General features: G+C 38.8%; 1 annotated feature.

Annotated features, from left to right (window-relative positions):
* Positions 4,811 to 5,203: a transcriptional cis regulatory region, noted in NCBI's record as "candidate enhancer chr21.79 targeted for multiplex CRISPR interference". NCBI's record gives its function as "positively regulates NRIP1 gene expression in K562 cells {active_cell/tissue: K562}" and the evidence as "EXISTENCE:mutant phenotype evidence [ECO:0000015][PMID:30612741]".

Raw genomic sequence — 15,199 nt, 5'->3', positions numbered from 1 at the left:
TTAACAGAATTCTATTTCTCCCATAGAGTAAACCTCGACTAATAATTGGAGATCCAGAATGATTTGAACTATTTGTTAGGTTAATGGTGGGTCTGTACTTTAATCAAAGATAAAAAAGGAAGTTAAAAGGTGTCCTAAAAAGAGTTTATGTTCAATATTTGTTATAGTATCCATGATATGTATATTGTACATATAGATAAAAATCAGACACTAATACTGAATGAAATTTTGACATTAAATTTTAGTATGAAAATCTTCATAACGTCAGATTATAACACTAACATAAAATGTGTAGAGCAACAATTAGTTATGGTTCAATTCTTCTACAGCAAATTATCTTCAGTCCATTATTATGAATAAATGTATATGGCTCTTGCATTATTAATATACAAGCCACAAGTTGTGCATTTAGCTTTCTATTGTTGTTTCTATGTGAATCATTTGGTTCAGCTAGTGGTCTTATTTCCAGTGAGTTTCCAATTAGTTTTTCGTTTTTCTTCAAACTATTTTATTATAAAAGGTTTTCTTAAGTTTTGAAAAATGGAATTTTTGTGTAAGTTCCCTTAGAAGAGGTTGCATAATAGACAAGTGCCATAATTCCTAAAGTCTAAAGAAATTGGCGTAAGACATGAATGAAGGTTATTTGGATTTTCTTTTATCTATAATAAAAACCCCAGAAATTTAAATGTAGGATTGATTGTTTCTACTTAAGAGCCAAGTTGGTCTCTAGGGGCTATATTTGGTTCCAAAATCTCATTGCAGTGGCTTCTGATTGAGATCACAGTCCATCTTTTCACGCAGTGATTTCTCAAAACACTCCACTGAGATAGGTGCTAATTTCTATCCTTCTTTATTTCCTACAAGTAGAATTAGAGTGAGAATGTTCAACCAGCTTTATTTTTCTTTTAAATTAAACTCAGCACTTTGAATGTTCTTAGACATGAAAGAAATTCATTTATCTAGACCAGGGAATTATGCAGACTTACAAGGCTGAAGTTTTACTCTCTACTATTTTTCAGTTTTTGTTAATTGTTAATGGCAAGGGAGATGTAATTGACACGGAAAATATTATTTCAAGAAATGGAAGAATAGAGTCTACTAATCTTATTGGAGTTCTTGCATTTCAAAACCAAAGAAAATTTTTTAATGGTGGAATTAAGCTCTACACCAATTGGATATTATAGACAATGCATGGGGGTTCACTGGTGAGGTTTGGACAGTAGCAAGCCTGTCTTAAAAAGAGAATTCTTTAATAGTTCAGAGAGCAAATGTTTTTGGCTTCGCAGGTCAGACCACATCTGTTACAACTGCTCAGCTCTGCCATTGCAGCAGGAAAGCAGCTATAGATAATATGTAAATGAATAAGCATGGCTGTGCTACCATAAGTTTTCATTAGACACTTAAAAAAAGATAGTAGTTAGGTATGATGTTGAAAATCTTGCTGTTGGCTGTATCTTGTCCCATTTTGTATTTACCACAGTGCTGAGTATGGTGCTTTGTGTTAAATAGGTGCTCAACAAAGGTTTGCTGCGTGAATGAATGCATAGGCCCAGGTTTAAAGAAATTCACATTCGTATGACATGGTATCTCCCAGAAACACTCAATTTCAACCCCATAAGACTTATAGAAGATGCCAGGGTGATTTTTCTAAAATGCAAATCTGGTCATGTCATTCTTCTATCTAATCACCTTCTGTGGCTCCTATTCCCCACGGAAATAAATCCAAATTCCACAGCATGGCATGGAAGGCTTTTACCCCATGTCAGACTCCAGCTTCATCTCTTGCTCCCACTCATCTCCCCCCTGCCCCTAAATGAAATAGACACATTGACTTGCATGTTCTTTCTAAGCTTTGTGTATGCTGTCCCCTGCCTTATTTCTTTTCATGTACTCGGTCAGTTGCTACCTGTCTTTTAGTACCAACTAGTTCCAAAGCTCAATTCCTCCAAGAAGCTCTCCTTAAAACCTTAAGTCCTGCAGCCTGTTGCATCTATGTGTCTTTTTTTCTTTTCTCTTTTTTTTTTTTTTCCCGAGACGGAGTTTCAGTACTGTTGCCCAGGCTGGAGTGCAAATGGCGTGATCTCAGCTCACTGCAACCTCTGTCTCCCAGGTTCAAACGATTCTCCTGCCTCAGCCTCCCAAGTAGCTGGGATTACAGGTGCCTGCCACCACACCTGGCTAATTTTTTGTATTTTTTAGTAGAGACAGGCTTTCACCATATTGGCTAGGCTGGTCTTGAACTCCTAACCTCAGGTGATCCGCTCGCCTCAACCTCATCTCTGTGTCTTGCTAATGCTCTCTCTCAGTACCTTGTGGAATATGTAGATGGTTTCTCATTTGCCATCTTTCTGGTCTGCTCTCTGACCCTGGATCTTTTTCATTTTTAATTCCAAGGCACTCAGCATCACAGTGCTGGGTACACAGTAGGTACCCAAATATATTGGAACAAAAAGGAAAAAAAAAGGAGAAAAAAAGACAAAAAGGAAGCCAGGCGAAGAGAAGAGAGATGAAAAAGGGAAACTAATTACTATTGGGCTAGATTATTTTTCTAGGCTTTGTACAGCAGAGCCTAGAATAAATTTAATTTCTTCAGTCTCTATGTTTGGGGTAAGCTGGAGGCAAGAATAGGTTTCTTTCTTCCTTTACTCCTAGATAAGCAGGGCCTGTTACTATTTAGATCTATGAATTCTAAATGGAAAACAGTACTCAACATTAAAAAATAATCTACTAAACACAGAATATAAATTTTAAAGAATTAACTTTTACATTTTGTAATTTGTACATAAGGCTTAAAGGTAAAAACTTGGATACAGTTCCTCTTAAGTGATTATATAATTTAATGAACAATAGAAACAATTTTCTTATTAAAGCCTGAACTTTGAAATAAAAGAAAGCATAATAGTTCCAAGTCTGTTGGACTCCAACATTGAGATGAAAATCCAATTCAGATATAACCAAATTCTCACTCTACAATATTTTGTTTAAATACTAAGTAAAATGTTAATTATTTTGCAGCTTTTGTTTTTAGGTCATGAGATCAGTCTATTTTACTTCCTCTTTACCATGGCTGGAGGCTCTTAACTATTTATGGATTTCACTCATCAGCAAACTCGGCTAAACTGCACTGCTCTAAGTATCGCAGGATTTTAATAGAAGTAGAGCTTTCTTTAAACATGGTTTCATCTAAAGATGTGTTTGAATATCTTGATTACTAATATGTACATATAATATTATTTTGAGAAAAATGCAAATAACTAAGCATGCTTATTATAAAATCTAAAATATACATTACAATATATATTCTTATTTAAAAAAAGAGATCAGTTCTAGGGATAGGAAGAGAGGATGCACAAAACAGAAGAAACTATCAATACCTGCCAGTAGATGATTTCTTTTGCTATTCACACATACTCCCACCCATTTCCAAAATGCCTGTGTTATCAGGGACCTCAATAAAATCCAAACACGAACAAATAAACAAATTGTCAGGGCAGGAAAATTGAGTGTTTGGCTCTAAATGTGCAGAAAAAAAAATCCTTGATTTGATTGTTTCTATATAATAGTGCTTCCTTTAGTTGTAATAATGCCCTTCACCCCTTTGCAACATTTCCACTTATAAACATTGACCCTCACAGTTTGAAAACCTGCCTATCTCACATCAGAGATCCCTGTCCAAGGCCATTCAGTACAGAACAGGGAGTCTGAGGCAAAACTGAGATTCCCAGTTGATCAGACCACTAGACTACATTGCACCATAAAGCAAAGACAAACAGGGGGTTGCTCCAGGGCAGCCTAAGTTTGTTTACCAGCGTGCTTGCGGCTTTTCTGAAGCCCGTTTGTCCTAATTTCTTTTTCCTGTTTGCAACTTGTTAAGCATTTCTGTCTTCCTTTCCCGCTACCTAGCCTATTTCTATGATCACTTTCTTCCTTTTGTTTGAAATGAATTATATGAGCAATTGAAAAATCAAAAAAGAATAAAATGATCAGAGGCTAGGTCATCTGGAAGCACATTTAACACAATACTGGTGTAGCGCACATCTTGCTATAAATCATATTGACGAAGTATATCAGTACCAAAGAATATTCTTCAGAAAAAGTGTTTTGATCAGAAACAACTTCTCGCCCTCCCCCCACATACTGAATCAAAGAATTTTAAGGAAGTGAAGAAGCGATGGAAGTTAGATAATCAGTTATACTTCAACCCTAATGCAATGGTGAACTTTGCCCAAACTTAGAATATTGTAAAGGAAACCTTACATTTCTCAAAGCATCTATTTAAATATAAATAGGGTATGTCAAATATCACACAGGATAGATCCACAGGCCATTTTTAGCTAAAAAAACAAAAACAAAACAAAACAAAAAATATGATCAACTAGACAAAACTGAAAAGCCTAGAAATAAAGTAGGGAACCAAATCTAATACATTAGGATCGCATTATGATTACTAACACTTGAGGGAAATAAAGCAGGCTCTATTGAGAGGAGGATAAGGAGATAGGCTACTCTTGAAATTCTAAAGTGAACCCTAAACATCTAGGAAGACCTTAAGGTCCAAGATGCTGGTTTCATTTATATTTAATTTCATTTGACTTTATTCCTTGATATAGGAATTACAGGTTTATCCTAACACCATTATTGAAAGCCATGGTCAGGTTAATATTTGGTTTGGTAATATAATGAATATGCAATATTTTTAGCAGAAATCAAAAACAGATTCTTGTACAGGTAAAACTGTCTATTCTAATCTGTAAATTTTACAGTATTTTTCTCTCTGGATCTCTCTTGTTTGCTAGGTTTTGTTTCTCTTGGTTTTAAAATCTATGTCTCTTAACTGACCCTGGGAGTGGCTAAGGAAAGGTGCTTAGTCATTAGAATGTCCACCTAGTCGCCCAGCCAAACTGGCCCTACAGCCAATAAAGCCAGACCCCTGTGTCCTTGCCCGTGGTGTGTGTCTAAGATCTGTGGCTAGCGGCTCCAGCCTGGGTTGAGCAGCAGGAGAGAGCCACAGTGACCTCTGTTTGAGTAACCTGGCTGTGAGCCCTGACCCCTGGGTGGGGCTGGAGCATTGCAGTCCATGCCCCATTGCCTAATCCCTCTGACTCCAGTGGAACCTAGAAGGAAGGAATAGGATGACTCTAACCTCAAAAAGGGGTGTTGAAGGAAGAAGAGGGAAGATTGCCAAATAGCCCTAGGGTGATGGAGGTTCCTGTTCTCCCTGTCTCCTCTCTTGGGAAAGTCAAGGCATTCCAGCTCTTATAGAGATGGTTAAGAGGATGATAGGATCTTTCTAACTGGAAGCTAATGACGAGCCTGTTAGTTTGTACAAGAGAAAATAATTTAATTAGAGCTAAACCACCCTGAATAGGAGAGGGAAGGGGATCTCTTAGGAGCCCTAAGAATGGAAAGAAGATTGAAATTCTTCTGTTTATTTGTACAATGGAATATTTGGAGGCCAGATCTCCTGTGATATAGACCCTGCTTTTATCAAATTGCCGTCTTTTCCCACTGACACAGGCCAGTCTCTCAAGGTATTGAGAATAGAGAGGAGAGCAGTCTGCTGACTTATTAACTTACGTGAAAAAAATTTTTTTTTCTAAATGTCACCTAGGATATTTTCCAGGTATTTGACCCTTACAGCATTGTATTTTCTTCTGGGGAGGGGACCCAGCAATTGCACATAAAAGAAATTGCATGAAACCTTGTGAATCTGGGCTATCATAGAGTGTTTTTGTGTGTCCTGGTATCCTTGATGCCCAGAAGCCAGGTAACTACACAATCATGAGCAGAAATTCTCTCAACCAAATTATCCGGGTCATGGCCTTTCAGAATATAAACACCTAGAAGAACCAGCTAGTGAAGCACAAAGTTTCCAGTAGTTATAAAAAACAGTAGAGAGGGAAACACTGTTTTCCTAACAGCATTTCCCAAAGGGTCACTTTTCATTGACTTCCAACAGTCCTTGGTCAAGTTATCTGATATAGGTACCAGCCTAATTCTTTGATTTTTCATACTGCCTGAAGGAAGCCAGCACTACAACAAATAAAAAAGAAAAGAAATTCACTTACTCATCCTCTTGAATCAAAGGCTAAGGAATAAAGAAGCCTTTGTGAGTTAGCAACTCCCTTCCCTTCTTCTTCCTTTTGGCTGTTTTGGTGAGGAAGACTTGACCTTAGTTAGTTACCTTCCCAGATAGAGATTGAATTGGAGGGTCTAGTACTTTTAATTTTTCTTTCATAGACTCCAAGAGCTACAGAACCCTTAGAGATTGATCAGCTACCTGGCTGACTGGTTCATTTTCTCTTCATCCATTTAGCAGGCTTTCGTTCAGGGCCCGCTTTGCAGTAGGTGCCTCCCAAAGGTTGAGAATGTGAAGACAAAAAATGTCAGTTTTTGCCCTAAAAAAGTGCATGGTCCAGTAGTGGAGACAGACATGGAAACACATGTTTTGGGTATGAATCATGGCTCACAAATGGAGGTGTGTGTGCAGTAAATGGCACGTGTCTTGATTTTATCTTTAAAGGAGATTCAATGCAACTCTGAGCTCTCAACCTGCTGGGCTTATGGGAAATGCAATCTGTCAGTATTGAGGGTTTCTCCTGGCTTTGTCTCTCTCTCATGCAAAGGTCTCAAGGTCTTTCACAACCCAGAGCATGGAGGAGATCCCCTTCAGTTTTGGCTCCCCACGGGCTATTTCTGGGTGCCTGTGGTCCGTGCCTGGCTGGTTACTTGAGGTCTGGAAACCCCACTACTTCCATGACACAGGTGGACCATTGGATCCTTGAGGATCTGGGATTCTGGTGCGCAGGGCCATCTTCCCAGATACACAGGCAGCTATTCCCTTTCTATGGCCTTGCTTCCTCGCAGGGCTCTGCCAAGAAGTAGGGCCCGCCTGAGTCCTGCTGCCCAAAGCTCCCGGTCAGCTTCATCCTCTTCTCTGCCTGGAGGTAATCACCTCCCTCTCCCTCTTCTATATTTCCTCTACCCCAGCCCAACCGAAGATCATACTTGCAAGGAGAAAATACAAGTTAATATCGCCATGAATTATTCTGCCCCTTGACTCTAAGAACGAGTGCTTCTATAACTGTGGTGCCCCGGGCAACTTGGTGCTTTACTGCAGCCCTACCCGGTGTCAGAGTACAGGTCTCAATAACGTGCCATGGGAAGGAAGAAGGGAGCAACTACCTATTGGGGAATTTGGAACTCAGAGAAGATAACGTTTCCTCCGGGTCATAAGGGCAGGAGATGTGCACAACGTGCATTGGGGCATGGGGGACGAACACCTGGAGTCAAAGAGCAGAACGTGGAAAACGGAGCGGGATGACAGAGTCTGCACGTTCCAGGGAATGTGAAGATCCTGCTATGATTAAAGTATAGGGGCGGGAGGCAGGGAGGAAAGTGGAGATGACAAGAGATGAGGTTGAGAAAGAGTTTGAAGCTAAATCCTGCAGGGACTTAGAGTAAATGTGGTGGGGGTTATGGCGAGTTTCTGATGTAAACAGATAGTTTAAGGTCACATGCCTTCGAGGCATGTGGGAATCCATGGACTGTGGAGTTGTTGACTGTAGCTTTGCAATCCCAACTGTGTCACTGTCTTGCCATAGGGTCCCAGGCAAGTTACTTAGCTTCTTTGTGCCTCAGTTTTTATTATCTGTAAAATGGGCATAGGTGATAATAGCACCCACTTCAGAGCCCTTTGTGACTGCTGAGTGAGACAACATATGTAAAGCATCTGCCCAGTCCTAGACACATAATTCATATTAAATACATATTAGCCAATGATATTATAATTTTACAATGATTTTCATGTCATTATATTCATAGCAACCTGGAGAGGTACATCCAACATGTACTGTTATGACATTCTGTGGCTGTGGCTACATCAAGGAACCAGAATTTGAAGTCCTCTTAACTAAACCTCTAGGTAGACAGAAGATTTGATGTGACATTGTAGATAATAATGACCTCCAGATCAAAGCAGATGGACATAAGAACTAGTATGCAGAGCCAGGACCTCAACAACTTCGCCAAGTGTAAAGACAGCATCTGGCACCCAGATGATACTCAAGTCATTTTGTTTAGAGATTCCCCGAGAGAACATGATAAAGACAAAAATGGGCAATCCAAACGGGTAACGTGGTGTATTTGTTTACTAGGGCTGCTGTAACAAAGTACCACAAACCAGGTAATTTAAAACAGAAGTGTATTTTTGCACAGTCTGGAGGCTAGAAGTTCAAAATCAAATTGTTGAGAGTACCCCGCTCCCTCTGAGACCCTGGGTAGCATCCTTCCTTGCCTCCTCCTAGTTTCTGGTTGGGGCCATCAGTATGTGGTGTTGCTTAGTTTTCCTGTGTCATCACACAGAGTTCTCCATGTGTGTTCCTCTCTGTGTCTTTTTTCTTCTTTGAAGGGTATACATTAGATTGAATTAAGGACACACCCAACTGCAGTATGACCTAATCTTAACTTATATCTTATGTCTGCAAAGACCCCATTTCCAGATAAGATCATATTCTCAGATACCAGGGATTACAGGGACTAGGATTTCAACATACCTTTTTGGGGAACACAGTTCAATCTATAAGTGGTGTCACAGAAAGAGCACAGGGCTCAAAGCTGTGCTAAAGGTACCTCTCGGGGGTCAGATGTGTTATTTGTGAACTCAGGGATTATCTGAGCTTCTCTTGATTCTAAAAATGAAATACGCTGCAAGACAAAAACTGAAGTAACTAATTGAAACTGTGTATTCAAATCAAAACTGCAGTTTGAGGAACGAGGGATTACATAACTAATAACCTAAGCCCTTGCTGACCCTGGCTACATTAGGAAGCATTGCTTATGAAAGAATGCACTCTGTTTGAACAATTTCTTCAGTCGGGCAGAGGATAGCTTTTCTTGTGTAACTGGCGTTTCCCACCCCTCTTAAAATGTGTTTTGATAAATATATTTGGAAGAAACAACACAAAGGATAAGAGCATGGAAATTTTAGTTTTCTCTCTAAATCTCACTGTCCTATCCAATGGTTTGACTTCTGAGTACCAAAGCATACTATTATTTAATAATCATCCCCGTAGGTTAATTGTAAAATAAAGTTCACCACCAATTTACCATCTCTACCGACTTTCCACCTCCCTTACCTCTCATCCCAGGTTGCAGTAATATAATTTTTTGAGGTTCTCCCTGTAATGCAATGAGGCATGGATCATACTTACAGTTGATTCTGTTCTCAAAATATATCACAATTTAGGGCAGTCTTGCCTGGTTGATATCTAGCCAATTACTCTCATATGTATATAGTATCTCATTTTTACATGTTTATACAACTTGATTGTAGATGTGAATACTAGGTTTTCATCTTCGATTGGCCCAAGACAACCTAAATGTTGACACCTGCTTTGTATCCATAGGAAGAATACAACAGTTTGGTAGGCCCTTTAACGGTGGTTCAAACTGGGGGGATAGTATGAGAAGAGAGGTACAGGCTGAAGACCATAGAGTATATCTGGAGGAAACTGATTTATTTCATTAATTATTAACCTCATCATTTCAGACAGCTATAACAAAGAACCTTAGACTGGGTAATTTATAAATAATGGAAATGTATTGCTGACTGTTCTGAAGGCTGGGGAGTCCAAGGTCGAGACACCATCAGATTCGGTATCTGGTGAGGACTTGCTCTCTGCTTCAAAGATGGTACCTTCTTTCTGCATGCTCACAGGGTAGAAAGGGCAAGGGAGCTCCAAGGAGCCTCTTATAAGTGCAGTAATTCTATTAACAAAGGTGGAGTACTTGTGACTTTATCACTTCCCAAAGGCACCACTTCTTAATACTATCACATTGGGTATTAGGGTTTCCAACATATGAATTTGGGGGAGACACAGACCTTCAGACCATAGCAATTATTTATTCCCAAATAAGCCTGAAGAAGGAATGCTTGGCCCAGGTTATGAAAGGGCTTTGCCTCCAAGGCTTACCATTTTGGAATTTATTCTGTAGGCAGCAAGGAACAATTGTAGGTTTTGGGTAAGGTGGTGGGCCTGAGCAGGTGTTTTAGTAAGCAGTCCCATTAGCAGCACAGAAGATGGACTGGCGAGGGAGAATCTGCAGTTTCAGAGCCCATCAGGAAAGTCATGGCAAGAGTGGCAGTGAAGGGTAATGACAAGCCTGCATCAAGGTAGTGGTGGCAGGAGAGCCATGGAAGGTGTAGCTATAGGAGACTGTACAGACACAGAACCAATTTGTCATTGGCATAAAAATGCGATTGCTAGTTCTAGCAAATGGGGGAATGATGTGGCCCCACACAAGTGTGAGGAGGATTGTGTTTCTATTTTGGGTGTGTTGAGTGTGAGGTGACCTCAGGACAGCCCAGCGAAGATGTTCTCTGGGAAGCATGAGGTCACTATCTCTGCTCTGGCGTGTTTGTAAAGGAGACTCTCAAGGGCACACACTGCAGCGCTGTGTCCTTTGCAGAATTCAGATATCCTGCCCTGTGGTTACTGAACACACAGTGGTCACTCAGTACATCCAAGTGAAGATCTTTACATATCACTCTTCGTGGAACACTCAACGTCATTAGCAGCCCCACCTATCTATTCGGCCGTAGATGCAGGAGACCTGTAGTTCTAACATTCTTAATGCAGCAACTTCTAATCAGAACACTCATCTAAAATCAGCTTTTTACTGAGGAGTGAAAAGGGATACAGGAATAGCCTGAAGTCATGTGTTCCATATAACTAAGAAATGGGTATAGATTTCAGGAGCCTGAACTCTCAAATGCCTACTTTTATCAGGCGACTTATTTTTTTTCCTTTGCTAGTTGATTTATTAACATTATGCATTACAGAAGTTTCAAGGGCCCCATCTGAGAAGAATAACCAGAAAAGGCCTTTTTTATCCATAAAACAGGGGTGGGGGGAGAAGCATTGGTACGATGCCAAAAGCAATCATGCGTTTGAGATATGCCCTTGGTTGGTATGCCCATAAAAATAATTTACGGGGGAAAGTTGACATGGAGCCACTTTGTGCCCTTACAACTAGAAGTTTCAACTTCTGACTTCGGTAGAGAGAGACAGAAATGTGAATAGGGCAGAGGTAAAGAAACAACATGCCACGCAGACATGTGGCTGTGCAGTGCCTAACCAGTCATCTAACCCCATATGAGAAGGGCAGCTCGTTTGCCTTTCCACAGCCTCAGGCAGGATGGAGAAGAGGAAGGCATTCTGCACCTAAAGCTAGGACCCACGGGTTCTAATTTTGACTGTGTCCCTAAATGGAAGTTCTGCTACTAACCTTGGGTAAATTACTTCACCCTCTGCGTGGCAGCAGTTTGGCCTGTAATTTTTTCTCCTTCACGCATTGCCTTCTCTATTGATTCTCTACTCTTGCAGTCTCCTTTAAACAATCACATGAAATGAATAAAATACCTATATATTTTTGGATGATGCGCACTTCCTACTGAAAGAAGCTCCTCTTCATGTAGCTGACAATGAAGATTACAAGGGTAGAGCCTGGCTTACTTGTGTCAAGACGATATGAGTTAACTGAAGGTCACTTTGAGCACACTTTATTTACCATGCCTCCCAGGCACTGCTGATAAGAAAAAGACAAAAGGACAAAGACAAAATTAACTTTTAATTTCCCATCCAACCTACAACTGACAGAAACAGAGAGATGGGTAGAATTCTTCTAACATACAATGGAGAATTATATATTAAACATCTTATCTGATTTAACTTATCAGAGAAAACCAAGCATGCAACTATTTAAATCTATATTTATAGGGTAAGGTCCCTCGCTGTGTGCACTGATAAATTTTAGTGACATATTTTCTTATCTTGTATCAGTCCAAAAATCTTTCAGCCCTAAATTAGATGAATAAATAAACAAATCAGATATATTAATTTTCTCTTTGGAATAGTTTTCTTTCCAAGCAATCACTAAAGTTATTTACATGATGATATAAGACAGTACTTAACATAATGAGTAACAATCTTCTCTCCCTCTAAGGTGCCAGCCACAAAACCTTCTTCAGTAATTTATTTTTGCAATTCGGTAGCATCACCAGGAATACTAGTAAAGAAGCTGGTATTTTGTATCTGATTTATTTTATGAAACCAAATCAATAATTAGAGTTGGAAAAGCATTAGCCATACAAGCCACCTAATAATATGAGAATGATGTATGTTAATTGCAGACAATGAATTGATTTCACTGAACGTCGACCCATGAATGAGCTGTGAAGCATAAGGTCAGATGACCAGCACTTTCAAATAATAGATTGAAAACAGTTTTTGAGTATAAGCTTTCCTTACATACACTTTCATCTTTGTGTAGCATATCCTAATTCCAGCCATTTTACAATGAAAAGCAAGGCACATCCTTAGCTTCGGGAAAGTCAAATTCAGTAATGAAGTTTTAAAAGATATGCAAATTAATTGTTACTTTATTGCTTTACAAGTTCATTCTTTTTGTTACCAAAGTAAAAGTTATCCTATCGCATTTCAGTTTACTCTGATTTCTATAATAATGACTGATTACTTAAAAGTCTATCTATTATATAAAACATGTTTTACCTCTGATACATATTTTTCAACATGCAGGATTCCTATTTAAAAGTGATGTAGTATTCAGGAAAAATGTACAGTACTGACTTTAGATTTGACAAGCTCAGAAACTGGCAGGAAAGTAAGCATCCCTCCAAAATGACAATACTTGTAAGCTATGTAATCATTCTGCTTTATCTTAACACAGTTTAGGAATCCACGAAGAAACAGAAACTCCAGAAGAAAATAATCTTGACCTCTAAAGCACATGCAATACATATTGCATATATAATCTGAATATTCAGAGTTTCAGTATCCAAACTTTTCCTTTCTACAGGGAATGTTAAATGTTCTAAGTTCTATGCTTAGTCTTAAACAGTAAAATGAGGTAATATTAAAGATGAATAGAGAAATATGGAAGGAATTAGAAGTATTTTTAGTCAAGTTATTAAAAGGGTATCTGGCTTTCTGAGGCATGGAATTAAAAAATAACTTTTTTTTTTTTTTTGAGACGGAGTCTCGCTCTGTCGCCCAGGCTGGAGTGCAGTGGGGTGATCTCGGCTCACTGCAAGCTCCGCCTCCTGGGTTCACGCCATTCTCCTGCCTCAGCCTCCTGAGTAGCTGGGACTACAGGCGCCCGCCACCACGCCTGGCTAATTTTTAAATATTTTTAGTAGAGACGGGGTTTCACTGTGTTAGCCAGGATGGTCTCGATCTCCTGACCTTGTGATCCGCCCACCTCGGCCTCCCAAAGTGCTGGGATTACAGGCGTGAGCCACCATGCCTGGCAAAAAATAACTTTTTAAAATTGTATTAGTTCCAAGAGTCCATTGCAAAAAAATAACAGATAAGGAAAAAGAATAAAATAAATGCCATCCATAACTCAAAAATTACTGATATACATACTGTCTCTTATGGATTTAATTGTATCTCTCCCAAAATTCAAATATTGACGTCCTAATCCCCCATACCTCAGAATGTGACCTTATTTGGAGATAGGGTCTTTACAGAGATAGTCAAGTTAAAGTGAAGTTTTTACAGTTGGCCCTAATCCAGTATGGCTGAAATCCTTATTAAAAAAAAGCGAGGGGGAGGAATTTGGACATAGATACCCAGAGAGGGAAGAAAATGAGAAGATGTAGGGAGAAGATAGCCGTCTGCAAGCAAGGAGAGAGGCCTGGAACGGGATCGTTGCTCACAGTCCTCAGAGGAATCCAGCCTGCTACATCTTGATTTTGGACTCTTAGCTTCCAGAATTTTGAAATAATAAATTTATGTTATTTAAGCCACCGAGACTAGGGTACTGTTATGGCAGCCCTAGCAAACTAATATGCCCTCCATCTTTTTCCTAAGTTCACATGCATATATATACATAGACATACACACATAATTGGTATCATAATTTATATACTATTTTGTAACTTTTTTTACTTTACATATGGAAATATCTCCCCATGTTTTAAAATATGCTAATAATAATAATAAAGTTAACACTGATTGAGCACTTATTAGGTACCAGGCACTGTTCTAAGTACTTTATGTCTACTATTTTAATCTTTGTGAATTTTAAAAGAACAGTATTTTTAATAGCTATATAGTATTCCATTTTATGGACATATAATACATGTGATGTGTATTCTATTATCAAATATTCAGGTTTCTTTCTTTTTTTTCTGTTTAATAAGCATCTCTGCCATGAACACCTTTGTATCATAACCTAGGCACATACATATTACCTTCTTGGGATGAGGATCTGTGGATGTATAAAATTTAAATGGAATACGGTAAAATATATATATATTTATAACATGTATTATTTACATATATTATATAATATCTTCATATATGTAATATGTACATACTTATATTTAGAGAGTGAGGGAGAAAAATTACCTTCCAGGATGGTAATTTTAAAACTACCAAGTTTTACTCCCATCAGCAATGAACAGAAGTGCCTATTTTCCTTTACCCTCTTATTTTTTAAAGCCCAGTCAATTTGTAGGCAAATGATGACAACTTATTGTCTTTGACTCCTAATAAACTTGCACTTTGAAACTGCATCCTTTATTTCTTCCTGCTGTATTTTTCGTGAGTGTCTTGTTTCTTTGTTGACTTTCAATCTGAGGTCATAGTGAAAGCTTTTCTTCCCTGGATTGTTGTTATGACTTTCCAATCTCCCAACGTCCCTCCTGGTTTAAGAATTACCACCAGCTATTCCTCATTTGGTCACTTATAATCTAGAATGCCTCTTATCTGTCTTAGAATCATATTTCTGACAATCTCAATCAAGCCAAACAAAAGTACAAACCAGAATATAAGAGTCTGTAAGAATGAAGGAAAAATGCAATCATGAAGTCCATGCACACGGCTTCAAAAGAGACCCTTATCGCACAGTTTCTTTATGCAAATTTTAGCTACAGCAGATAGTAGAAGAATCAGACAGAGAAAAAAAATGGTGGCTCTTCAAAGTCAATTTACAATAAATAAAACCCTCTTCCTTCTTGCCTGAAATTTTCCCTCTGCACTGACTCCTTCATCTTTCTCACGCCCTTCTCCAGGATTCAAGTGTTACTATAGAGAAGACTTAAATCAGTGGTTTTCTGCTGTGGCCTTACTCAATTTTCTCCCTATTTCCTAGGTGGTGACTTTTTCATAGG

The sequence above is a fragment of the Homo sapiens genome, chromosome 21 (assembly GCF_000001405.40).
Source record: "Homo sapiens chromosome 21, GRCh38.p14 Primary Assembly".
In the NCBI taxonomy this organism is placed as follows: domain Eukaryota; kingdom Metazoa; phylum Chordata; class Mammalia; order Primates; family Hominidae; genus Homo; species Homo sapiens.
The sequence above is the reverse complement of the archived record's forward strand: the minus strand, read 5'-3'. Positions and strand labels throughout refer to the sequence as shown.